This window comes from Homo sapiens, chromosome 1, assembly GCF_000001405.40.
Source record: "Homo sapiens chromosome 1, GRCh38.p14 Primary Assembly".
Lineage (NCBI taxonomy): Eukaryota > Metazoa > Chordata > Mammalia > Primates > Hominidae > Homo > Homo sapiens.
In genome coordinates, this window is record NC_000001.11 from 1,215,733 (window position 1) to 1,240,286 (window position 24,554).

Genomic DNA, 24,554 nt, shown 5'->3' on the forward strand with positions numbered 1-24,554 from the left:
AGCATATTGCTGGCAACTGCAATGGCCCCAGGATGGGGCACGGCCCCTCCTGCTTGAAGCTGCCCAGGAAGCTCAGGTCTCCTTGTCCTGGGCTTAAGGTCACAGGTCCAAGAAAGCCCTGCTGTGTCCATGGAACCGGGTGTGGCGTGGCCACAGGAGGCTGGACACTGACCCAGAGCTCAGGACCCCCAAGGTCTGTAAGGCAGCCTGCAGCTCGAACCACATCCCCAGGAGCTGGGCTCCCCGCTCCACACAGTAGTGTCGCGGGCGGCACAGGGCAGCCCATGAGTGGCCACTGCTCCTCCAGTACCAGACTGGAGCTGGCTGGGGCCTCTGAAGGGCCAGGTGCCACCACATACCCAGCTGTCCCCCCGCCTTCATGTCCAGCACAGCATGGCCTCAGCTCACACCTCCCACCTCTGGGTGCACGGCCCTCAGCACAGGGCGTCGAATGCTGCTGCAGCTATGATGGTCCCTGGCTGTGGCCTGGGGCCACGGATGGGGAAAGACAGAGTCCAGGCCACCGAAGGTTGGCTCCAGGGAATTACAGCCCCTTAGAGCAGGGCGTGGGACCATCCTCCCACCACCTGCGCTGGCCGTGGCTCTGTGAATCTCGTTTGCCTGGGAACCAGCCCAGGTGCCAACCCGCCCTCTCGGCCCCACAGGGGCCCCTGGGCAGGTGGGCTCAGGGCAGAGGCCGGTCACATGGGCACCACAGGGCAGACTGAAGAGGACACACTCCCGGCTTCCCTGAGCTCCCACTGGGAGAGCCAGGACACAGCCTGGGCCCCCACACGCCACAGAGCAGGACCCCCACCAGCCGTCCTAACACACCCCATTCTCTGCCCCATCTGGGGCTAGGCCTGCCCCACTGCACCCAAAGACCTTGCCATCCTCCACCCAAAACCCCCAGGCGGCTCTGTCTCCTGCCTTAAATGTCCAAACCCCAAACTCAGTGGGCACGTCTGCTGCCCCCTGACCCCTACTCACAAACGCAGCGCTGCCCTCCGTCCTCCCAGAGCCCCTGCCCGTTGCCACCTGCCAGGAGAATCACCTCGAACCGGCCATGACCTCCAACCCTCCACGTGACCCAGCACCAGCCTCCAGCGCTCCAGTGGAAACTGTAACCACAAACCTAGCACGCTGCTGTTGTGTTTTGTTTCACGCCCAAAGAATGAAGCTGACCAAAAAAGGCAACTATATTTAAAGTAAATGTATGTGATTCTTGTCACAACAAATATTTGCATTTTCTCAGCGGCAGCTGCGGGACCTGGGTGGCTCCGACACGCCAGGCCCGGGAAGGACCCGGCACCCTCCCCTGAACTTCCTGGCTACTCATTTCCAGCGAAGTTTAATCTATTTTTAATAATCGTTCAGTTTTCAAGGAAATGGAGGAGCTGTTTTTTCCCACGGAGCGGCGGCCCTGGGAGGGGCCGGGCCCAGAGGTTCCGGCCGCGATGCCGTCAGCGCCTTCGGCAGAGTGACTGAAGCGAGATTTCGTTCTCAGAAGTGAGATGCCACGATTTCGAGGGACCAGGGAGGAGGCGGCGCCGCGGGGCCACAGCCCAGCCCCGCGCCCCGACCGCGTCACAGCCAAAGCCCCGCCGGGGTGCGCGCTGCAGAGGGGACACGCCGCTCATCAACTGGGGCAGCCGCGGTCGGTCGGCCGGTGGCGGGCGGCAGGGAAGAGGTGGGGTCCGGGACAGCCACGGAGCCCGGAGTCACCCGCGAGGCCGCCCCGGTGGTGCGTGGGGGGCGGCGCGGGGCGCGGCCGGGCGCTCAAAACTCCTCGTGCACGCTGCGCGCGTAGTCCACCAGCTTGCTGCCCGTGAAGAACTCGCTGTACTTGAGCACCTCCTCGGGCTCCAGGTGGTGGTTCTGGTTCTCGTCGGCGACGGCGATCATCTGCTTGGCCTCGTTCAGCGCGTTGTACTCGTTCATGGGGTCCATGTAGCTCTGCGGGCGAGCGGGGCACAGGTCAGCGTCGCCTTTCCCCCTCCGAGCTCCGCGGCCAGCCGCACGAAGTGGCTATTTAAGGTGCCTATTGGCTGCAGCGGGAGTGTGGGCACGTTCTGGAAGGTTCCCGAAGGGAGGCGGCACAAATGAAAACACAGGGCAGGGAGAAGCCGGGGGCCCCGGAAGGCCTGCCCGGGGCCAGCAGGGGTAACGGGGCACAGGGGCTACACAGGCCTGGACCCCAGTTCTGAAGGATCCCTAACCTGGGCCGGGCCCACTGGCTGTCGCCAGGAATCACAGGATTCTACATAAAAACAAGATGACTCACTCAGCAGTGGGAGAAAAACAAGCCTACACATGATACCAGTGAAAACGCTTCAGAGGAAGGTGGTAAATTCCAGCCATGTGGCACAGGCCGCCCCGCCCACCTGCACCTGCTGGGCCTTGGACCTGCCTCCATGCTGGGCCCAGCATGAGCTTCCCCTTGTGGTCCCGTTAAAAAGGGGCTGTGAGAACCCTGACGCCTCCGCAAGGGGCTGAGGATGGAGCCCGGCCAGGCTCGCCTGTCTCTGATCCGTCTGAACCTAAACGCCAACAACGGCCATGCAGCCTGGTGGACACCGCTGAGCAAACGCCCCAGTGACCAGCCCAGATGGAGTCTCAGGCCAGACACCAGCACAGCTTCCTGCCTCAGGCCCAGATCCACCAGCCCCTCCCGCCACAGCACCTCGCAGGGCCGGCTCCGGGACACGGCTGCGCCAGGGCTCACCTCCAGCTCCTCGGCGGTCACGATGCCGTCGTGGTTGGAGTCAATGAGCTCCTCAAACTCCTTTTTTCTGTCTTTCACCCAGTTGTCGTCAATGTCCTGGCCCTGCTGGTTCTCCACGGTGCCCACGGGCAGGGAGATGAACTCGGGCACAGAGAGCTGCTTGTCACCGTCCTGGTCTGCGAGACGGGAATGGGTCAGCCCACACCCAGGCTGGGGCTCCCGCAGGACCTGCCCCGACCTCCCGACGATGCCCGGCCCCTGCCAGTCGGTCCTGGGTCCTGGCGTGCCGGCCAGGCTGGACCCAGCCTCACCCAGGTCCCGGACGATCTCCTTCACCATGAACCTGAGCATTCCCCGGCTGTGCTCGGGGTGGAGGAACGACAGGAACTCCTCCTCCGTCAGCAGCAGGTCTGCAGGGGGGCTGTCCGCCTGGTACCAGCGGTCCTTCAGGTTCTCCAGGACTTCCTGTGCTGAGAGGGGCGCAGCCTGTGGGTATCGAGGCCGACAGACGCCAGCACGCAAATCCAGAAAGTTCCGAGAGGTGCTGCCTGAACTCGAGGGACACAGCCACCCGCGAGACCGGGGCCCCACCCTCCAGGATTCACACGTCCCCAGAACATGGCCCAGCCCCTAAGACACAGCCTGGACCCCCGCCAAGACATAACCCAGAGCCTCCCACAGGCCTGATCCCCAAAGGCATAGCTTGGACCCCTCCACACAGCCCGGACTCCCCAAGACAGCCTGGACCCCCCCCTGCCCCAGACCCCCAATACATGGATGGCCCTGACTCCCCACAGACACAGCCCAGACCCCCAGGACATGGCCTGGACCCCCCACACAGCCCAGACCTCTCAAGACATGATCCAGAACCTCCCCATGGCCCAGACCACCCCAGGACACAGCTCAGAGCCCCTCATGCCTGGGACCCCTCAGGATGGGCCTGGGCCCCACCCCCCACACCCGCGCCTGCCCCTCTGGAGGAGCGGAATCACCCTGAAGGCTGACGTGCGCACGGCGCCGCGGGGCGAAGGACTCACTGCCCTTTTCCGTTTCCTTCACGTGTGACGTCACAGGGAGGAAAACACAGTTTCTAGAAATGACTGAGACTGGGGCTGAGCAGAGCTTCCCAGGAACCCTCCCAGCCGGGACACGGCACTGCCTCTGGGTGTGTGGCCCCCGCTCTCCTGCCGTGCCCACCCGGCCCCAACGGGCCCTCACCCCGAGGTCCCCACACATCCCAAGGACCCAAGCCACCCTGGGTCTCCAGGACAGAAACACCACCTCCTGCCCCATCTTGGGGCTCACTGCAGTCAGTGGCCAAGTCCAGTGTTGAGGCCCACACTCAGCCCCCTGCACGTGAGGCCCGACTCTGCCCTGGCCGAAGCCCCTGCCACAAGCCCGGCAGCCTCTGCGTCGCGCTCACTGCGGGATGAGGCCCAGCTGCCGTCCCATCTTATCCCTTTCTGAACAACCTCCATCTACACGACCGGTTCACTTAAAGGAAGACAGGAGTGACGGGGCTGTGGTTCCTGGGGCACCCCTCCCTGTCTGCTCCACCGCAGCTCCTGGGATGGATGGACGGGGCCAAACTGAGACCCATCCAGGAGAGGCACAGACGCCCCAGACAGGCCGGCCGAGAGACGCTTTCTCCAGCACAGGATTCTCACAGCCGCCGCCGAGCCCCAGCACCAACCTCAGGCTGGTGAAGAAGCCTTGAGTCCCAGTCCCTCCCCACGAGCCGGGCCTCTGCTGTTAGGGAAGGATCTGGAGAGACCCTCCTGGATCAGGGAGAGTCAACGACTGCTGTCCCTGTGAGAAGAGGACGCAGACCCAGAGAGAGGCAGCGATGGAGGCGGGGGAAGGGAGTGATGCCCGCCTGCCACGCCTTCACCGCGGTCCCCAGAATCAGGTCTGAGGCGCGAGGACAGCAGCCCCCGGACTCACGCGGTGACCCTCGCAGGAGCCATGCAGGGAGGGGTGGGAGGTCGCAGGAGTGACGCCTGCCAGCGCTTCCCAGGCCCCTCCTCCAGGACCCGGCAGCTGCTCTTCCTGAGCCAGAAACCAAATACCCAAAGAGGTCGGGGGGTCCTAGGCACCCTGAGGTCGGGGAGGCCAAGACGGATCGGACACGGGTGGGCAGGGAACAGCACCTCAGCATGCATGGGGACCCCCAAAACGCAGAGTGAATTCTAAACACACCTCTGCTGAGTCCCAAAGGTAGACGGAGGCTTCACAGAAATGTCACAGAGCTCTAGGTCCAGGTGGGCCATGTCCTGGGCAGAAAAGACCCAAATAAAGTGGCACCAAGGAAAGACAGACACAATCAGAGTTGGGGGGCGGGCACGGGCAAGGCCTCCTGCCCCAAGCACATCGCCAACAGGCCGGACCAACGGGATGAAGCTTAAAGACGCAGTCAGGACAGCAGGGAACGCGGGACCGGGGTGGAGGCACGAACCGTGTGTGGGGAGGAAAATGTAAACCACTCTTTTGGAAAGGAAGTAATAACGTCCAATTTGGCCGGGCACTGGGGCTTGTGCCTGTAATCCCGGCATGCTGGGAGGCTGCGGCAGGCAGATCCCTTTAGCCCAGGACTTTGAGACCAGCCTGGGCAACACAGGGAGATCCTCTTACTTTTAGTTTTTTTAATGTCCAATTTGCAGGATTTAGAACGGACAGGACCAAACTCCAGATAAGAGTACGTGAACTGGGAAAAGAGCAGGCAGAGCCAACAGGCTCAAAAGTCTCCGCGTCATTCTAGAAGGTCAAGGCCAGGCACAGGGGCTCATGCCTGCAACCCCAGGATGGGGAGAGGCCAAGGCAGGCGGGTCACTCGCGCCTGCAACCCCAGGACGGGGGGAGGCCGAGCGGGTCACTTGAACCCTCTGAAATCCAAGAGTTTGAGACCTACCTAGGCAACATGGGGAGACCTTGTGTCTACAAAATATATGTTTTTGAATCAGCTGGGCATGGTGGCACACACTGGTGGTCCCAGTCACTCAGGAGGCCGCCCCCATGGGGGCTGGTCACATGATATGGGCCGTTCCTGGCAGGAACGTATCTTACACCTTTATTTTTCTGTCCTCCAAGGAGGATAGATTGAGCCCAGGATGTGGAGGCTACAGGTGAGCTGAGATCGCACCACTGCACTCCAGCCTGGGCAACAGTGAGGCCCTCACTCTTAAACAATTAAAAATTAAAAATTAAAAAAAGAAAGAGGCTAAGACTAGGCGCAGTGGCTCACGCCTATAATCCCAGCACTTTGGGAGACTGCAGTAGGCGGATGACTTAAGTCCAAGAGTTTGAGACCAACCCGGCCAACACGGCAGAATCTATCCGTACAAAAAATACAAAAATTAGCCAGGCGCGGTGATGGTGCCTGTGGTCCCAGCTTCTGAGGTAGGAGGATCGCCTGAGCCCTGGAAGGTACAGCTGCAGGGAGCCGAGACTGCACCACTGCACTGCAGGCTGGGTAGCAGAGTGAGACCGTCTCATGAAAAAAGAAAGAAGAGGTGGTTTGCCTTGAGACTCTGGTGAGGAAATGTGTGTTACTGATAAGTTAAGCAGGCACAAAAAATAAAGGTGTAAGATACACCCAGCCTGCCAGGAGCAGCCCCGTATCACGTGACCAGTCCCGTGGGCGACACGGGCGCCCTGCAGGGCAGCAGAGAACCCACCCCAGGATGCCGGGCAGCGACGGAGCAGGCGACTCTGCACGTTCTCCTCAAAGCCCCAAACCAGACCACGGGCATGACCGGGAAGGGCACACGGAGCCCCAGGGTGGCAGCAACGCCACGGTACCCGCTCAGCTGTGCCTCACAACTGGGCCAGCAGGGGCTTCTGCCTGGACGGCTCTCCCAGACCTGGCCCCGTGCAGGGTGGCCCGGCTCTCCCCTCACCTGGCCTTAGCCCGGGTGCCGGGCCCCACCCGGCCCCACCCTCTTCACGCAGAGGCACCAGCTTGGACCCGCCCAGGGCTGAGGCTGCCCTGCTGGCCAACGGCCACACCCCAGACCCAAGGAAGAGCCTCTCCCTGGGACCTGACCGCTCTCTGGTGACCACCTGACGGCCACACAGATGTCTCCAGCAGACCCAGGCCTCAGGGCCAGGCCCTCAGGCACAGGCTGTGCCCTCTCCCCAGGAAACTCTGCCTCACGTGGCCTTCAGAGTACGGGGCAGGCCCCAACCCAGACTCACAGCCTCAGATTCTCTGCAGGACCTAACTGAGTAACGGCCGTGAAGGTGCCGTGACCAGCAGAGCTGAAAGCTGCCCAGGCACAGCTCACACGCTCCCCACCGGACTCCTGGGCGGCGCCTAGGTCAGCAACGGCTTCACCCACTTCCCTCCTGACAGCCACCACCAACCAGGTTGGGCCATGCTGTTAAGACGAACACGTGTGCACACAGCGGGTGTGAGGGCGCACTCACCTGCATGTACTCACGAGCCTACATGAACAGCTACCTGGATGTACTCACAAGCACACGCACAGCGCACTCGTACACACGACACGCACACACGTACAAGCACATGCACAGTGCACTCGTACACACGACACGCATACACATGTACTCACGAGCACACACACAGCACACGTACACACAACATGCACACACGTACTCACGAGCACGCGCACAGCACACTCGTACACACGGCACGCACACACGTACTCACGAGCACACGCACGGCACACTCATACACGACACACACGGCACACTCATGTACACACAACACACGCGCGCACACACAGGATGCCTGAGACCGGTGGCGGGAGCCTGGCTGAGCACTCACTTTCCTCATCCACTTTGAGTTCCTCGTTGAGCCTGATGGCGTCGGCAACCTCCTTCTCGCTATGGCCTTTACTCGCCAAAAACTTCACCTTATACTCGTCCCAAGACACGTGACCTGGAAGAGCAGATCACACCTGTCAGGGCCTCTGATACTGAGCTGAACTTCCTTCTCAACTGAGATGGGGTCTTGCTCTGCTGCCCAGGCTGGAAGCGGCAGGATGCCAGCGTCTGGAGCCCCAGGGCCCCGGCCAGCACCCCACACCCGTTTCCTCACCTGTGAGGCCAGCCGGCAACGTCTGTGCCTCGGGGCCACCAAGAGGCATAGACACCACCAGATGAAGGCCCCGAAGACATAAGAGGCGCCCTCCATGGGCCACGCCCAGTGCTTGGCACACACACCTCTGTCACCAGGATTCTGGCATCATGAACCCAGCTTCCGTGCACCCCACCACACCTCGGGGTCTCCGGCTGACACTTCCCCACCGCCCGTCCCTCAGACAGGGCCTGTCTGCCCTCCAGGCACCAGGCAAGGCCCATGGCCCTGCCCGCCCCGCCCACCGCCCCACCCACCCCGGCCCAGCCACAGTACCGTCCCCGTCAGGGTCCACGGCGCGGAAGTGTGTCTTGCTCTCCTCCATGGCCTCCTGGAAGTGCTCGGCCGTCTTCTCCATGATCCAGCGCTGCATCTCCTTGGCACTGATCTTCCGGTCAGTGTTCACATCCACCCTGCAAGACAGCAAATGGGCAGGTGGCCGTCAGACTGGGCCCCCAGGACCCCGAACAGCCAGACGGATGCCGCCGGCCCAGGACTCCATGGCTGCGTGAACCTGCCACCAACAGCGACAGGCTCCACCAGGCAACGCGAAAAGCGTCCGGGACGTGGGGCTTGTGGGGTGCCGGGCCACGCCAGAGACACTGGGGAAGGTGGATGCCACGGTCCCCTCCCCGGGGAAACACATGGACCCTCCCCCTCTGTCACACAGAATCACCACCAGACCCCACTCTCCAACCACAGCTTCCAAAAGTCACACTCTTCACGTTTTATTTTATTTTTTGAGATGGAGTCTCACTCTGTCACCCAGGCTGGAGTGTGGTGGCGCAATCTTTGCTCACTGCAACCTCCGCCTCCCGGGTTCAAGCGATTCTACTGCCTCAGCCTCCCGAGTAGCTGGGATTACAGGGGTGCACCACCACGCCTGGCTAATTTTTGTATTTTTAACAGAAATACGGTTTCACCATGTTGGGCAGGCTAGTCTCAAACTCCTGACCTCAAATGATCCACCCACCTCAGCCTCCCAACGTGCTAGGATTACAGGTGTGGCCACTGGGCCCGGCCCATGTTTTATTTTCGATGCTTCAGGTATGGCTACACAAAAACCTTCATATAGGCAGGACGCAGTGGCCACACCTATAATCCCAGCCCTTTGGGAGGCTAAGACAGGTGGATCACTTAAGCCCAGAAGTTCAAGACCAGCTTGGGCAACATAGGGAGACCCCACCTCTACAAAAACAATTACGAAAATTCGCCAGGCGCGGTGGCGTGCACCTGTGGTTTCAGCTACTCAAGAGGCTGAGGTGGGAGGCCTCCCGAACCTGGAATGCGAAGGTTGCAGTGAACTGTGATCACACCACTGCACTCCAGCCTGGGCGGCATACCGAGACCCTGACTCAAAACAAGACAAAACAAAATCCTTCATATAAATTTAAGTTGTGAGATTTAGGAAGAAGACCGTGTGGGGACTTAACATTGTGTGCAAGGATGGAAGAGACCACAGACTTGGGGGATAGGGACACAGACTGGGGACACGGGGCCAGCGCAGGCCAGGTCAGGAGGCCACAGGCCCCAGGACAGGTCACTCCCGTCCCAGCTTCAGAGCTCGGCTTCACCATTATGTCTTTGTGGAAGCCACAGGCTCCTACCCCTGCTGCAGCCGCCCGTGTCCTGAGCTCACCTGTTGGAAACTTAACCCCCAGGGCAACAGCACTGGGAGGCAGGGCTTCCAGAGGTGCGAGGTCTTGAGACCCCGGCTGGTGCGTTTGCCGGAGGCATCCCCGAGAGTAGGGTGCCCTGGCCCCTTGCCTCTATGCTCCGCTCAGGGGCAGCCGCGGCCACGTTATGAGGTGGCAAGCAGGCCCTCGTCAGGCAGGTGTGGCCTCTGGGACCTGGGCCAGGCAAGCTTCGAGGGTGCACACACCGCAGGCACGGCTCAGAAGCACTGGGCAGAGATCCTCATGGAAGAAGGCCAGGCTGCCGCTCACACGCGCCCCTCCCTCAGCAGCCGCAGCAGCCCAGAGGTGGACGGGCCTGGGAGGCACCCTCAGCTCCACAGTCCCCAAAACACACCGGCTGGGGACGGGGCCACCCGGGTGGCCATGTGGCAGGTGGGGCACCTGGTGGGTCTCACGTGGACACGTGCATCCTCGAATGCTCCGGTCACGCTCCACACGCGCCACAGACACAGGCCACACGCTCCACACGCCACAGACACGGGCCACACACTCCACATGCCACAGACACGGGCCACACACTCCACACGCTCTACACACTCCACAGACACAGACACACACGAGGCAGAGCAAAAAGCAAAAAGGTGGAAAGAAACCACATGGCGCAGGATTCCAGTCAAGATGTCGGCAAGGAGTCACTCATCCAAACTCAGGTGCCTGAAGACACGGCTGCAGGGCGGTGCACGTACATGGAGCTGGCACGCACACACGCAAGTGCACAGGCCGGTACCCACGTGTACACAGCACACACACGTGAACAGGGCTGGCAGAACACAGATGTGACTGGGCTGGTGCACACACGCATGTTATCAAGTTCTGGCTCCTGAGAGAACAAGGGCAAGACGCCCAGTGCCCAGACCCTGGCTTCCAGCTCCAGCCACGGGAGACAGGGCTTCCTGGAAAGGCGGCAGCTATTGCACTGGGGCAGGTGGCACGGAGGCGAGCCCAGAGCATCTCACCGTGCCAGGAAGCGGGAAGGAAAGCCTGGAGCATCTCGTGGTGCAGGGAAGCGGGAAGGAAGTGAAGCTCAAAAGCCCCTAGGACAGGGCACCTCCCCTCTGGATGCTCTTTCCAGAAACCCTCAACCCTGTACGGTCAGGAGGAAACATGGCACCTCCCCTCTGGGGGCTCTTTCCAGAAACCCTCAACCCTGTACGGTCAGGAGAAAACACATCCCACAAGCCCAAACTGAGGGACAGCCTAAAACCTCCTACCCAGCCCTTCTCAGAACTGTTACGTCCTCACAAAAACGGGAGAGTCTGAGACACCGTTCCAGCCCAGAGGAGACAGAGGAGACAGGACAGCTGAGTGAACGTGGGTCCTGGAGGGACGGGGCCCTACGCAGGAGAAGGGCGAGAAGGGACCCGCGTGTGGGAAGGGAAGTCTAAACACCCACAGCGGCCGCTGTCGCCGCTCGGCGCAGGAGTCAGGGAGACCCGGAGACCTGCTGTTACTTCCCACTCCCCATGCCCACCTCCTCAAACGAGACAGCTTGGGGTTTCGTTACAGGCACCAAAAAGAAACCCCGGTCCAGCTGGAGACGCACCGAGCAGAAGCCTCAACTCCCCTCGCCCAGGCGTGCAGCCCACCCCCAGCACCGGCTGAGCAGGGACGGGGACCCTTCCCCTGTGATGCCGCGAGCCAGGCCTTCGTGAGCTCAGGGGTGGTGAACCTGACAGGCCCCAGGGGCACCAGCAGCCTCTTCGTGGGTTGGTCAGCTCACCACCAAGTGAACTCAGGCCACGCAAGGACCCCCGAACCGTACCATCTGAGGAGAGGTGCAAGGGGACACCACACCTGGTGCCCAGGTCCTCCAGCTGGCACCGTGCCTCCGTCCCACCAGCTCACCTGTGCTCCGCCCGAAAGCCTGGATCCTCAGGGCCCTCCCGCCTGGCCCTCAGCCCAAGGGCCGTGGCACAGCCAGACCAGTCCTCACACCTTTCCTACCTGCTCCTGCACCCCAGGACCCCAGCCCTGCCCAATCCCCTTGCTCACCAGCTTTGCCACCTGCCCCTCTGCACTGGTCCTGGAGCACCAGGCCCGGCGGGAAGGCGAGCTCGTGGCCAGGCCCTGCGGGAAGGCGAGCTCGTGGCCAGGCCCGGCGGGAAGGCGAGCTCGTGGCCAGGCCCGGCGGGAAGGCGAGCTCGTGGCCAGGCCCGGCGGGAAGGCGAGCTCGTGGCCAGGCCCTGCGGGAAGGCGAGCTCGTGGCCAGGCCCTGCGGGAAGGTGAGCTCGTGGCCAGGCCCTGCGGCGGGGGCTGCCTCCTTGTGCCCAGGTCTCGCAGGTCCCAGGAGGCCCAGGGTGTTCTCTCACCTGCACCTCGGCTCCCTGCCCGGCACCCTGGCTGGCCTGGGGGACTCACGGGCACGCCCTGACCCTGCTCTGCCTCCAGGGGTGAGGCCAGCGCTGAGTGCAAGTAGGTTCCAGGGCCACACCGCAGGGCACCCCGGCCGTGCCGTAAGGAGTAAGGCGCCCGTGCAGGACCTGGCTCCTTGTGGGTGAGTGGTCAGGTTGACCCATCTTGGACCCCTCACAACAGGCTCTCGAGACTCAGGGATGGGGTCGGGGGAGAAAGCTCGGCACTAGGCACAGAGGCAGCAAGAGGGTCTCGGGACTCAGCAGGGTGGGGGCAGTGACGGCCAAGGATGGGCCACTGACAGCACAGCTCTGCTCCCGACCAGGCCAGCAAAACAAGCCAACCCCACACACCCCCAGCCTGCGTGTGATACGCGGCCCGTGTGTGACAGGGACCCCAAACACACAGGGTAGAGGGCGTGTCAGGAGGAGCCCAGAGCACCCTGTACCAGCTCTCCAGCCACCTGTGGCAGCCCCTCACTCCTCAGCCAGGCCTCGTCCAACTGGGGCTGCAGCCTGCGGAGGCTGCCCGTGGCCGGCGTCTGCCCCTCAGCATGGAGGACGCTGACCACTGCAGTGCCGCGTGGGCTCCTCCAGGCTGTCCTAGGGACGGCCACACAGGCCCACTCTGGCCCTCTGAGCCCCCGGCGGACCCAGGGCATTCAAGGAGCGGCTCTGGGCTGCCAGCGCAGGCCTCCGCGCAAACACAGCAGGCTGGAAGTGGCGCTCATCACCGGCACGTCTTCCCAGCCCGGCAGGTCCCGACACAGGGCCCGGCGCCCCCCACCGCGCAAAGCCAGGATAGGAACACACAGGCGAGCGCACGCGGACAGCCCCCCAGTCTGGGCACATGGCGGCACCTACTTGGAAAAGATGACCATCAGCTTCCTCCGGCTCCGCCGCGGCTCCGCGTCCTCATCAAAGCCACCCAGGTCCTTGCCTAGGAAGACCTCCTGGTGGAAGCCGCGATTGAGGTGCCCGTCCATCTCCAGCTTCACCCCGTTCAGGTGGTCTGGGGGCAGGATCTCATTCTCCTCCCTGTTGGCTACTCTCTCTCGAGTGGACGAGTGGTTGGCAGGCCGTGCAGACGCGTCCATCAGAAGGACTGCCCCCAGGAGCCAGAGGCAGCACGGAGCCAGGCCAATGAGGGGACCCCACCTGGACGCCATCGCCACCCAGGGCCAGACCATGGGGCGGGCTGCAGGGTGTGGGCCAGGTGCTGGGAGGGGCAGGGGCAGGGGCAGAGGAGGAAGTGAGGTCCTGGCTCCAATCCAATCCCCGGGCACCACGGAGGGCTCTGTGTCCCCAGGACGGCCGCAGGATGGGGACAAGCAGCTCACAGTCTGCAGAGAGACACAGACACATCATTAGCAAGACTCAGCAAAGACTTCCCCAAGCACGTCTATCCTGCAACATGAAACATATCCTCGATTCACAGGATCCAGACATGTGGCATCGCCTTCTCCAGACCACACGTGGCACTGCCTTCTCCAGACCACACGTGGCATTGTTTTCTCCGGGCCACACGTGGCATTTGTTTTCTCTGGACCACACGTGGCATTTGTTTTCTCCGGACCACACGTGGTGTTTTTTTCTTTATTTTTAGAAACAGGGTCTTGCTCTGTCACCCAGGCTGGAGTACAGCGGTGACCACAGCTCACCGTGACCACGAACTCCTGGGCTCAGGTGATGCTCTGGGCTCAGGTGATGCTCTCGCCTCAGCCACCGGAGCAGCTGCGACCACAGGCGTGCACCCCCACGCCCAGTAATTTATTTTTATTTTACTCTTTGTAGAGACGGGTCTCGCTGTATTGCTCAGGCTGGTCTCAAACTCCTGGCTTCAAGCGATCCTCTTGCCTCAGTCTCCCAACGTGCTGGGATTACAGGCGTGAGCCACTGTGCCCGGTCTTTTTTTTACAGACACTGAGTTTTCAGCCCTGTCTCTCCGTCTTTCCATCTCTCTCTCGAGCTGTCAGCACCTCCAGGGGCTAACCTGTCCCCATCGCCCAACACCTGCAGCACAGCTTTCCTGTGGGGCCCGGCTCTGTCCCTCCTGGCATCATGCCACTGACCCATGGGGTTAGGGTCACTCTCCAGACCCTGACTTGAACATTCTTGAGATCTATGACCTTAGCTAAGTCATGTGGCCTCCCCGGCCTCAGCTTCTCACTAAGAAACAGGAGGCTCCCCCTCTCCCCCCGACTGACCAGGCTTTGCGAAGACAGCCAACCCTAAGTGCAGAGGGCGTCAGGGCCTGGTCCCAGCAAACAAACACACAACCCCCACACACAGATGTGCACACACACATCCACACTCACGCATGCACGTATTACACACATGTGCCCTTGCCCACACTCGCGAGCGAACGCCAAGGCCGAGGAGCCCAGAAGTCTGTCCTGCCGTCCGAGGCGTGGCCAGTCCTGGTGGGAAGCAGGGGCTCACAGGGCCTCATGCCTCATGTATCCCAAAGGGAACTCGGGGTCCTTCTCACCCACGAGCCTACTCCTTTCACAGTCTGCCCCTCCGGCAAACACCTGCGGGTCCTTTCGGGTGCCGCTGAGGCCCCGCCATGTCACAGCTGTTCCCTCAACACACATGGACTGAGACTCCTGTTCTGTGGCCGTCTTATTCAGCTTCACTGTTCTGGCACCTGCCACTCTGCCTGCACACAGTAGGCGCTCAACGAATGCTACCCTGGGTAATATTAAACGAAAAAATGCTGCCTCCAGGTATCGAGAAACACCAGTGGGGCCGCCATGAAAGTGGTCCTGAAGTCAGTGCAGTCTGCCACAAACCAAGAGGGGTACAAGCCTGAGTTCCCCCAAGGAAGGAAACCCTGGGTGAGGGGCTCATGTCTGATTTTTTTTTTTTTTCTGAGACAGAGTCTCACTCTGTCGCCCAGGCTGGAGTGCAGTGGTGCAGTCTCGGCTCACTGCAACCTCCACCTCCCAGGTTCAAGTGATTCTCCTGCCTCGGCCTCCCAGTTAGCTGGGATTACAGGCACCCACCTCCACTCTCCACTAATCTGTATTTTTAGTAGAGATGGGGTTTTGCCATGTTGGCCAGGCTGGTCTCTAACTCCTGACCTGAAGTGATCCTCCTGCCTCGGCCTCCCAAAGTGCTGGGACTATAGGCGTGAGCCATGCACCCGGCCTGATTTTCTGAACATGGCTGAGGGCTTTTCCCTTCCCTAGTGGTGGCATAATTCTATTCCTGTCGTCCCAGATCGCCTGACCAGGGGAGAGTCCTGGATAAGAACCAAGACACCTCCTCCTGGTGCTGACTCCACTAACTACAGTCGTAAAACACACGCTGTGTGCAAAGAGACTGTACTTTGTTCCTAGAGAAAATAAAGCTAGTTCTTGATTCTACATATCTTGATGAGTTACACGGTTTACTTGAGGCAGGAGGATCGTGAGACCAGCCTGGGCAACACAGTGAGACTGCGTCTCTTTAAAAAACAAAAACAAAAAGATAAGACCCTGTCTCGAAAAAGGGGGAATAAAAAGTAACCCAAAAGTAACTATAAATATCAGGAGTCCATCAAGTGGCGCTTCCTCTCCTGGCTTCAGAGTATCTATTCATCACGGTGTGCCAGGTTCGCAGCACAGCGGAGCGGGCCGGTCCCACCGGAATGGGGTTTCGACTTCGCCATCCCCTAGCAGCTCAGTTCCCAGCAAGGAATCAACACACCCTTGCAAAACGGACGTGGGAAACAGCTTAGGCAGAGACGCTATTTCTTTGCCATCCCTGGGCTTCAGCTCTGGTGGAACGAGGCTATTTCTGGCAGTTAACAACACACACGGTTAGATTCTAAAAGCTCAACAGGGTTCATAACACCGCCTCTGAGCCAGACATCAAGGGCTCCACACAGCCGACTTCACATCTCCAAATCCTACTAACTGGGGATGAGGGTCCACGCGGTTCAGAAGCGGAAGCGCAGGCGCAGGGAAGCGGGGCAGCTTGTCCAAGGTCGCCTCGCCGATAAACGCGAGTCCAACCAGACCCCTTGGGCCTCCGTTTCCCGGTGGCATTCGTAGGTTTTGGCCAGTAGGAGACCAGACGTGCCGGCGGCCGGGGAGGCCAGCGTCGTCGGCCTGTCCCTGCCCCCGGGAACCCCGGGAGCCCCGGTGGCGGCGGAGTCTCGCCAGGGCTCAAGGCCGAGCGGACGGACGATGCCCCAGCCCAAGGCGGGAGGCGGCGGCGGCCTCCAGACCCGCCCTCGCCGTCCGGCCGGCGTACACTTGGCCCCGCGGCCTGCAGCGGCCGTCCCGGGCCCCTCACTCACCGGTCTGCCTCCCCGCGCTCGGGATCCGAGGACCGGAGCGAAGCGTCAGTGACGCCGCCAACGGGCCCGGATCAGGCCACTGCCATCTTTCTTGCGGGCGGGGGCGGTGCGAACGGGCGCGACCTCACGGAGGGGACGCCGGCGCCACCATCTCTCCTCCGGGCGGAAGCGGTCGCGGGGCCGCTCCGAGGTTGACCAATGACAAGGGTGCCCGAGGCCACGTGACGGCCGCCGATTGGCCGCCGGCCTCCGAGCGCCCCGGGGCTCGGCGTCTGCGGAAGGCCCCGGCGCGCTCCCAGGAGCGCCGTGCGCACGCGCACCGCCCCGAGCCGGCGGCGCCTGCGCACTCGCGAGTCCGGCCTGGGCCGCCGGCCCGGCGCGGGCGCCATGAAGCTGCTGCGGCGGGCGTGGCGGCGGCGGGCGGCGCTAGGCCTGGGCACGCTGGCGCTGTGCGGGGCGGCGCTGCTCTACCTGGCGCGCTGCGCGGCCGAGCCCGGGGACCCCAGGGCGATGTCGGGCCGCAGCCCGCCTCCCCCCGCGCCCGCGCGCGCCGCCGCCTTCCTGGCAGTGCTGGTGGCCAGCGCGCCCCGCGCCGCCGAGCGCCGCAGCGTGATCCGCAGCACGTGGCTTGCGCGGCGCGGGGCCCCGGGCGACGTGTGGGCGCGCTTTGCCGTGGGCACGGCCGGCCTGGGCGCCGAGGAGCGGCGCGCCCTGGAGCGGGAGCAGGCGCGGCACGGGGACCTGCTGCTGCTGCCCGCGCTGCGCGACGCCTACGAAAACCTCACGGCCAAGGTGCTGGCCATGCTGGCCTGGCTGGACGAGCACGTGGCCTTCGAGTTCGTGCTCAAGGCGGACGACGACTCCTTCGCGCGGCTGGACGCGCTGCTGGCCGAGCTGCGCGCCCGCGAGCCCGCGCGCCGCCGCCGCCTCTACTGGGGCTTCTTCTCGGGCCGCGGCCGCGTCAAGCCGGGGGGGCGCTGGCGCGAGGCCGCCTGGCAACTCTGCGACTACTACCTGCCCTACGCGCTGGGCGGCGGCTACGTGCTCTCGGCCGACCTGGTGCACTACCTGCGCCTCAGCCGCGACTACCTGCGCGCCTGGCACAGCGAGGACGTGTCTCTGGGCGCCTGGCTGGCGCCGGTGGACGTCCAGCGGGAGCACGACCCGCGCTTCGACACCGAATACCGGTCCCGCGGCTGCAGCAACCAGTACCTGGTGACGCACAAGCAGAGCCTGGAGGACATGCTGGAGAAGCACGCGACGCTGGCGCGCGAGGGCCGCCTGTGCAAGCGCGAGGTGCAGCTGCGCCTGTCCTACGTGTACGACTGGTCCGCGCCGCCCTCGCAGTGCTGCCAGAGAAGGGAGGGCATCCCCTGAGCCGCCGCGGCCCGGCCCTCCGGGACACCTGCTTCACCCGGCGGCGCCTTGGGGCAGGTGCCGAGCGGGCGCACTACGCCCGGGCCCCAAGGCCCCCGTCCCGCAGCCACGCTTGTGGTCGCTGCGTCCCGGTCTGCGTTTGGGAGACCCCTGGGGGTTGCCGGGGCAGCGCGCCGTGTCCAGGTGGAGGTGCCCGTTCCTGGACCTCAGCGAGCCTGAGCCGGGCCCGGCCGCACGCTGACCCCCGTGCTGTCCCCGACCGGCTCACGGGGCTGGGCTCCGATCTTCCGTGTCTCTTATCAGTGGCGTTTCTCACGTCTGCGTCTCAGATCTAACGTGGTTTCACATCAATCCGCTTTCATGGGATTTTGGTCTCTGTCCAGTGACTTCGTGGTAAATGTAACTCAGTGTTTGCTTGCGACTTATTTATAAATATTGTAAGTTTGTGTCGATGAGTGTAAGTTGGCAGTGCGCACGTCTCGGTTTTTTTACATGATTTAAGGAAAGACTTTTATGTCAGAACTTGGTGCCTGTACCGTCAACCCCGCTGCTGCCCGTGTTTAAACGCAGGAGAACTTTAAAACTGGCCATCTATCTTTTCAGTGTACAAGTCACTGAACCCATTGTTTCTTTCTGAAGAGACTTTCCTTTCAAGGCTTCCCATGGGTCCGCGCCACACAGGGCCGGTGCTGCTTTATTTCAGACTCTGCCCCAGGTTCCAGGAATCCGAACCCCGGAGTGCTGACGCGGTTCCCCAACTTCCGCCTTAAGAAAACAGGACCAGCCGGCACCAGGCCCGTCTCTCACGTACTTTAACACATCCTTGAAAGCCCCTCGTTTAATGAGAAAAGCGAACACTGCGGTCCTTGCCAAAGTAAAATGAAGCTGCCCCAGGACAAGGGGTTACCATGAGCTCCCTGGAGTCCGACGCGGGTTTTCTCTCTGGGGGACCTGGGTGGTCCCCGCTGTGGTCTTTGTTGTCCCACTTTGGGACCGGGTCCAGTCTGGGGTCTAGTCTCGAGCATCAGGGTCAGGCTCGGGGCAGGGCTGGGTTAGGCTCCGGGTCAGTCTTGCCATGGGTTTGGGAGCAGGTTTGGGTTACTTGCGTTTGAAGGCAGCAGTGGTCTCAGGAGGAAGAAACGGGGGCGGGAGAGAGTGGTGATCTGTGGTCAGTGGGTCAGTGACCTGCACGGTGATTCTCCCACCTCCAAAAGGTAGGGGTGGGACTGGAGGCGTCCCTAGGTCAGGCCGTTGAGTTCGAGCTCCGATGGGCCACCTTGAATCCAGGACTGACCGCCCGTGTGTGCACAGTTTGTTCTTGGACGAGGACTCGTGAGGATCGAGGGCTGGGGACCCCGGTGTGAGCAGGATGGGGCCCTGCCCTCCCGTGGGAGTTGTGGACTCGAGCCCAGGGGCTGCCCGTCACAGCGGTGTCCCAGGTCCCTGCCATCCGATTTTACCTGGGATGTCTTCTCTGGAGTTTGGAATTGCTTGAGGAACCCTGCGTGTGCTTGGAGAGGCCAGAGGGCTTGCTGAGAACCCCATGGACAGTGGAGAGCGGGATTCGAACCAAGGGCTGGACTCCCACACCTCTGGCCTGCGTCGCCCAGTTCTTTGTGGCTCTGAAGAATTGGCCGCTGTGGAAAAGAGCAAATGTCCGAGACCCCCAACAGGAAGAGTCTAAAAATCCAGTTTGCAACCACTTCTGACCTACAAAAAAATGGAAATTTAGTGTTTTTCAGCCTAAGACATTAAATTTCATATCAGAACAAAGCCTGCCCCAGGCTGACCCTCCCCAGCCGTACCGTGGTGAACGGGTTCAGAGGATACGTGGGCTGAAGGCTGGGCCTCGGGAGGGCTGGGGGCTTCCAGAGCCGGGGCAGCTGCAGCTCTCTCTGGTCTCACCTGGAACTTGCCCTGTAGATCCTCCCTGCCCTGCGGCTCCAATCGACCGTGCACGGGCCGTGGCATCCGTCCCCCAGGCGTCCTTCCCTGGTCTTAGCTTGTACAGCTCCCCACCCACCCAGGTACTCGGTTCCCGGAGACCAGGGCCAAACCAGGAGGCCCTCGGGAGATGGGGGGTCACCGAATTCATTTCCATGTGGGAACTTGGGATACAAAACAGCCAACTCTTCCTCAGCCACACGGATGTTTCTCCTCTAGTGGCCCCGAGAACCTACCATGGAGGGGACAGTGTCAGGGCTGGACGGGCACGGCGCAGCCACACGCACACAGCCCCCAGGAGGCACAGGGCCGGCAGGGAATGCAGGTCAAGCCAAGAGGATGGGCTCTGGTCCCTTCAGGATCCCCCAGGAGGAGAGCACCCCCTTCTGCCCTCTTCCTGGGGACTATGGTCCTGCCTCTCTGCCCCCTGAGGCTGGCATGCAGGCACCTGACGTTGGCTCCAGCTCTCTGGGCCAGCCCTGGGTACCCGCCGGGCCTGTGGCCTGGTTGGTCACCCCCAAGATGCAAAGTGCTACCTGCATCCGGAGGCACCCCCGCCCCTGAGGCCTCCAGGTTCCCACCTGCCCACCTGTGTCTGGCTGGGATCCTGGCTGTCAAGGCTCCTGTTACGGGACTGAACTGTGCCCCCTAAAAGATATTCCAAGCCCTAACCCAGCAGCTACAAACTGACCTTGTCTGGAAGTCGGGTCTCTGCAGGTGGAATTGCGTTAAGGCAAGGTCCTGAGGTGGCCTTACTCCCACGGAACTGGTGTCCTTACCAGAAAAGACCTGGGAAAAAGCCACTGTGTGGCTAGAGACTGACACCCAGGCGATGCCTCTGCAGGCCAAGGATTGAGGACCCTCCACCCCCACCCCACCAGGCAAGGAAGGGCTCTACCCAGAGTCAGGAGCGTGGCCTCCAGGGCTGCGAGGGAAGACGCCCCGTCCAGCAGCCCCAGGATGCCAGCCCAGTTCCCTGTGCCCGGCGCTCTTCGGTGCAGACGCAGGCAGGGGCTCCTGCAACCTTGTGGCATCACAGACGCCCAGCACTGACTGGGCCCAGATCTCCTCCCCGCAGGGCTCAGCACACACCCTGTTCCCGGCAGGCCTCCATCAGTCCAGCCTGCAGCAGGGCTGCCCCCGCGGCCTGGGTCACCCCAGACTCTTCCACCCTCTCCCTGGCTGACTGTCCCAGCTCAGAGTCCTCAGGTCTAAGGGGGTCACGGCCCTCCTGTGGCCCCACCGGCCCCAGGCTCCCCAGCTGTGGCACTGTGAGACCAGCTGACGTTGCAGGAATGGAAGCCCCAGCGGCCCAGACGGCTTGGGGAGTCCTCGGGAGCAGGTGGCCAGAGACAGGTGCGTGCCAGGCCCTCCGCACCCAGAGCGGGGCCGGGAGGAGAGAGGAGGCCCCTTGTTCGCGCAAGGCCCTGCTTCCTGGGCCCACAGCAGCCTGTCAGAAGTTTCCAGCTCCTTGGACTGGCTGTGTGGGGCCTGCTCCCTGGTTTCAGGGGCCTGGGAAGGGCTTGGCGCTTTTTCCTGGTTTCCTACTCTGAGGTGAGCTGGCGTCTCCCTCTCCCACTGTGGGCTGAGGGGAAAGACCTCTGTGTCCATCCCACAGGCCTGGCCAATCTCTGGGGTCCTCAAAGAGGAGGCTTTTGAGGGGGCACAGCCCAAACCCCTGGGCCTCCCCTTGAGGTCTCCTCCCAGCCCCCACCCAGAGGACCTTCCCACAGCCTTGGGAGCTGAAACCCAGGCCACCCCATCAAGTTGGCCTCTGTGGGTGTACACACTCCTTTCCCTCAGGGCCAGGGTGGGTCCCCACCCCCAGCACTCACAGCCCCTCCTTCTCTGGCCTCCCTGCCCTCCGCACCCTCCCTGCTAGATGCTGGTGCCGCTAGCCCTGCCCTGATGGCCACACTGCACCACGCTGGCCAGGTCAGAACCACCCGAGGAGAAGAACCAAGATCTGGCCCCACCCTGTCCTCCTCGGAAGGTCTCTCTGGGGCCCACCCCCTCCTCCCTCCCCAAGGATCTGAGCCTCCCTCACCGAGGTTCCCAGTGGAGGTAGACAGTGGATGAGTGATCCCAGGAGAGCTGGCTGCAGCCAAGGGGCTGAAGGGAGGTGGAGGCGGGAGGGGCAGGAAGGAGGATCTGGAAGGCCCCAGGCGCTCCCCACCCATCCAGCCTCGGCCTCTGTCCTGGTCGCGTTGCCCAGCGAGGCCTCTCCTTGGGCTGGGGCTCGGGTACTCTGCCCTGGTCGGGGCCACAGATGCCGCAAAGTCCCCTCAACTCAGCTAGCCAGGGTGCAAGACCGCGCCCACAGCTGAGAAGCCAGGGGTTACGAGTGTGGCCCTGCCAGGACCTCCTCAGCTGCATCCTCCAGAGTAAACACAGGTGGCCGCAGATCTTCCAGGGCCGGCCGGGCAGGCAGGACAGGAGCCCAGGAGGGCCGCAGTCCAGCTCCCCTCCCCGCTGACCCAGGGCCGGACCCAGCCCGGTGACTGGAGCAGAAGGAAACCCAAGCCCCAGGCCCTCCCTCCGGTGGCATCCGAAGGTCTCAGCGGCCCCAGCCTCCCCCAGGGGCCCCGCACCCGCCACCGCCCACCTCAGACCGGAGAGAGAGTGAGGGATGGGCAGAGCCAGGCCCAAGTCCCCGCCGGGGCGACGGTCACGGTGCCTCACCCTCAACCGCCTCACCCAGACCTTCCGACCCAGGAACAGCTGAACTCAGCCTAAAAAGCACCCGTCCCGAGGGCCTGAGTCCGGCCGTGGTGCCTCCTGCTGCAGAGATGTGTTTTGCACACTCCTGTGTGGCAGGGAGAGGCCCGGGCGTGCGGGCTGGGGGCCCAAGGGGTCTGGAGACGCTTCCCTGCGGAGACGGGGTTTGCCCAGCCCCCACCTGTCACGCTTCTCGTCACCCCCAAGTGAGGGCCGTGGGCGCGGGCGGGGTGGGCAGGAGGCCCTGCTGGGCTGGGTCACACGCATGACACCTGGCTGTCGCAACACAGATATCATCACGCCCGGGCACCCGTGAGTCACTGGCCCAGAGCAGGGGCTGCCCCCAGCCTCCCAAACAAAGACCCTTTGTCCCCAGGCCTCTGGTGCCAGGCCCACCTGTACAGCAGTCAGATGCGCAGGCGGACAGACACGCCGGTGGCTCGGCAGGCACAGGCAGGGCCAGGGCGTGTTCCCGCAACCAGACACGCTGCCATTCCTGGGTCAGGGTCAGGCTGAGGGAGACCCCTGGGGGACAGGCCCTGAGGTCACCATAGCTCAGAGTGACCTGAACTGGGAGTCCAAGCACAGACTGGCCAAGCCCAGCCCGTGAGCGACGGCCCCAGGACGCGGCGCCGAGCTCTGCCCCCAGCTCCAGCTCCCAGCGGCGTCGGAGCACAGCAGATCCCAGGGCAGCGCTCTGCAGGCAGGAAAGAGCTTCCCCTTGGGACAGCGCGCTGAGCAGCCCCCAGCTGAGGGTGGGAGCCCCGTCCCTGGACCCCTTCACGCAGTTCAGGGAGCCCCACATGCCGAAGCAGCCGTCACAGCTCCATGGGCCCCTCTGCTGTCCCTGGCAGGACCGAAGCTATGTGGCCTCCCGGACGCCAGGGACCCCGGCCACGCCCGCTCCAGGCACTGAGTGGCCAGCCAAGCGCTCGGGCCCGGGGTCCTGGACGGCTGTTCTGGGTTTGTTCTCAAGGGGGCCGTGCTGCTGGCTCTGTAGAGAGTCCCAGTCCCAGGGCAGAGACCCACACAGATGTGCAGACACGTGGGCACACACGCACCAGTCGCAGGGACACACAACTGTCAACCCGGGGTCAACACGGGGCACCTGGGTACATAGATTTTTACAAAGCAGGGCAGGCAGGTCTGTTTGGACCCTACACAGCCCCTACATGCCCCCAGGCCATTCTTGTTCCAAGGCCCAGATGACAGTGGTCACCAGGTGTGGTGTGGTCTGGGGTCTGGGACAGGCCCCAGGAACGCCCTGGGCTTACTCCAGAGAGGCTGGCAGGCAGTCCGAGGGGCCTTTGGAGCAGACACCCTCCCAGCTGCAGGGCGGCAGGGGCGGCAGGGGTGACAGAGGCGGGGAGAAGGATGCGAAGACAAGATGCCAAAGCTGGGCCTCCAGCGCCTGCCTGTCCTGGCTGCAGCCCCAGGGTCCACACCCAGGCGCCCCCAGGGGCCAGGCCAGGGCAGCCGCATCTCCTACGTACCCCAACAGTGGGGCCCTTGAGGCACCGGGGACGGATGGGCAATGGTGTCCACACCTGACAGGCGGGGCCGGAGCGGGGCCCAGCCTCCTCCTCACAGCCAGGAGCCCCCAGCCCTGCCTCCCCTGGCTCCTGCTGCCCCCTCAGGGTGGCTGCCGCACCTGGCCCCAAGAGGACTTCCTGGCTGCCCTGAGCTCCCGTCCGCATTTCTGTCCATTCAAGACCAGGACAGCACCAGGGCTGGGAATACTGGCTCCGACCCAGCCGAGGCAGCCCCGGGGCAGGGTGGGTCAGGCAGGTCCAGCGCTGGGACTCTAGGGAAGGGCTGGTCCTGTGAGCAGACGAGCTGGAGGGTTGGTGGGGGGAGTGTCCCCGCACCGGGCATGGCCCCTCCCAGGATGGCAGGGAGCCCACGGCAGGAGTGTCCGATGCCCCCAGCCCCGGCCAGGCAGCAGGGTCGGCCTGCGGTTCTGGGAAGTCAGCCCTGGTGGAGGTCACGGAGAAGCCGGCAGCTCCCTGCCGCTCAGGGCATGGGGTCAAGGGTCAGGGGTCAGGGGTCGGGTTGAGGCCGTCCGGCACGTAGCCGGCTGCTCTGGCTTTGCTCCTGCCAGGGTCCACGAAGCTGCCAGACGCTTGGGACACTCAATACCCCAGCTCCCAAACCGGGGGGCACAGGCCTGAAGAGATCCGTTTCCCTGGGCTCCCCAGGTCCCCCAGCCAGCCCAGACCCCAAGCAACAGCAGCTCTGGCTGGCCTGCACCTGCCCCGGGGACCCCACGCTCCGGCTGGGTGAGTGACAGGCATCTCCCACCCTCGTCAAGAGTCCAGGGTCCCTTCTATGGCAAACATTGCAGTGTGGGTCCAGC

At 63.1% G+C, this 24,554-nt stretch overlaps 2 protein-coding genes across 6 annotated transcripts, besides 5 other annotated features; one reads left to right on the top strand and one right to left on the bottom strand.

Moving 5' to 3' along the window:
• SDF4 (stromal cell derived factor 4) lies at positions 1,199–16,269 on the bottom strand. Of its 5 annotated transcripts, none has more exons than NM_016176.6 (7): positions 16,160–16,269; positions 12,736–13,214; positions 8,100–8,236; positions 7,512–7,625; positions 3,037–3,195; positions 2,726–2,901; positions 1,199–1,956 (listed from the first exon to the last, which is right to left on the bottom strand). In NM_016176.6, exons 2-7 carry the CDS (start codon positions 13,038–13,040, stop codon positions 1,780–1,782), a joined length of 1,068 nt encoding a protein of 355 aa, NP_057260.3. In that variant the 5' UTR covers positions 13,041–13,214; positions 16,160–16,269; the 3' UTR covers positions 1,199–1,779. The 5 variants fall into 5 exon arrangements, with proteins under 5 accessions (NP_057260.3, NP_057631.2, XP_047278067.1 ...); NM_016547.3 differs by having other exon boundaries at positions 1,199–2,072; XM_047422111.1 differs by having other exon boundaries at positions 15,775–16,269.
• Positions 15,747–16,606: a silencer, noted in NCBI's record as "silent region_48". NCBI's record gives its function as "represses an Ori minimal core promoter by ATAC-STARR-seq in GM12878 lymphoblastoid cells {active_cell/tissue: GM12878}" and the evidence as "EXISTENCE:reporter gene assay evidence [ECO:0000049][PMID:35858748]".
• Positions 15,747–16,904: a biological region, named in NCBI's record as "H3K27ac-H3K4me1 hESC enhancer GRCh37_chr1:1167335-1168016".
• Positions 16,223–16,904: an enhancer, noted in NCBI's record as "H3K27ac-H3K4me1 hESC enhancer chr1:1167335-1168016 (GRCh37/hg19 assembly coordinates)". NCBI's record gives its function as "activates a minimal SCP1, AML or CMV promoter by ChIP-STARR-seq in naive H9 embryonic stem cells {active_cell/tissue: H9 hESC(naive)}" and the evidence as "EXISTENCE:reporter gene assay evidence [ECO:0000049][PMID:30033119]".
• On the top strand, positions 16,505–19,309 carry B3GALT6 (beta-1,3-galactosyltransferase 6). Its single transcript, NM_080605.4, has one exon. The coding sequence runs from the start codon at positions 16,547–16,549 to the stop codon at positions 17,534–17,536; it is 990 nt and encodes a 329-aa protein (NP_542172.2). The 5' UTR covers positions 16,505–16,546; the 3' UTR covers positions 17,537–19,309.
• Positions 16,905–17,586: an enhancer, noted in NCBI's record as "H3K27ac-H3K4me1 hESC enhancer chr1:1168017-1168698 (GRCh37/hg19 assembly coordinates)". NCBI's record gives its function as "activates a minimal SCP1, AML or CMV promoter by ChIP-STARR-seq in naive H9 embryonic stem cells {active_cell/tissue: H9 hESC(naive)}" and the evidence as "EXISTENCE:reporter gene assay evidence [ECO:0000049][PMID:30033119]".
• Positions 18,371–18,872: an enhancer, noted in NCBI's record as "H3K4me1 hESC enhancer chr1:1169483-1169984 (GRCh37/hg19 assembly coordinates)". NCBI's record gives its function as "activates a minimal SCP1, AML or CMV promoter by ChIP-STARR-seq in primed H9 embryonic stem cells {active_cell/tissue: H9 hESC(primed)}" and the evidence as "EXISTENCE:reporter gene assay evidence [ECO:0000049][PMID:30033119]".

Bases quoted from the DNA above. Each gene is read 5' to 3' on its own strand.
- SDF4 (XM_047422111.1), bottom strand. From the start codon at position 13,061: ATGGTCTGGCCCTGGGTGGCGATGGCGTCCAGGTGGGGTCCCCTCATT. The intron at 3,196-7,511 runs GTGAGTGCTCAG...CGCCCCTCTCAG, and splicing joins ACTCAAAGTGGATGAGGAAA to CACAGGAAGTCCTGGAGAAC. The intron at 1,957-2,725 runs GTGAGCCCTGGC...GCTCGCCCGCAG, and splicing joins TGACCGCCGAGGAGCTGGAG to AGCTACATGGACCCCATGAA.
- B3GALT6 (NM_080605.4), top strand. From the start codon at position 16,547: ATGAAGCTGCTGCGGCGGGCGTGGCGGCGGCGGGCGGCGCTAGGCCTG.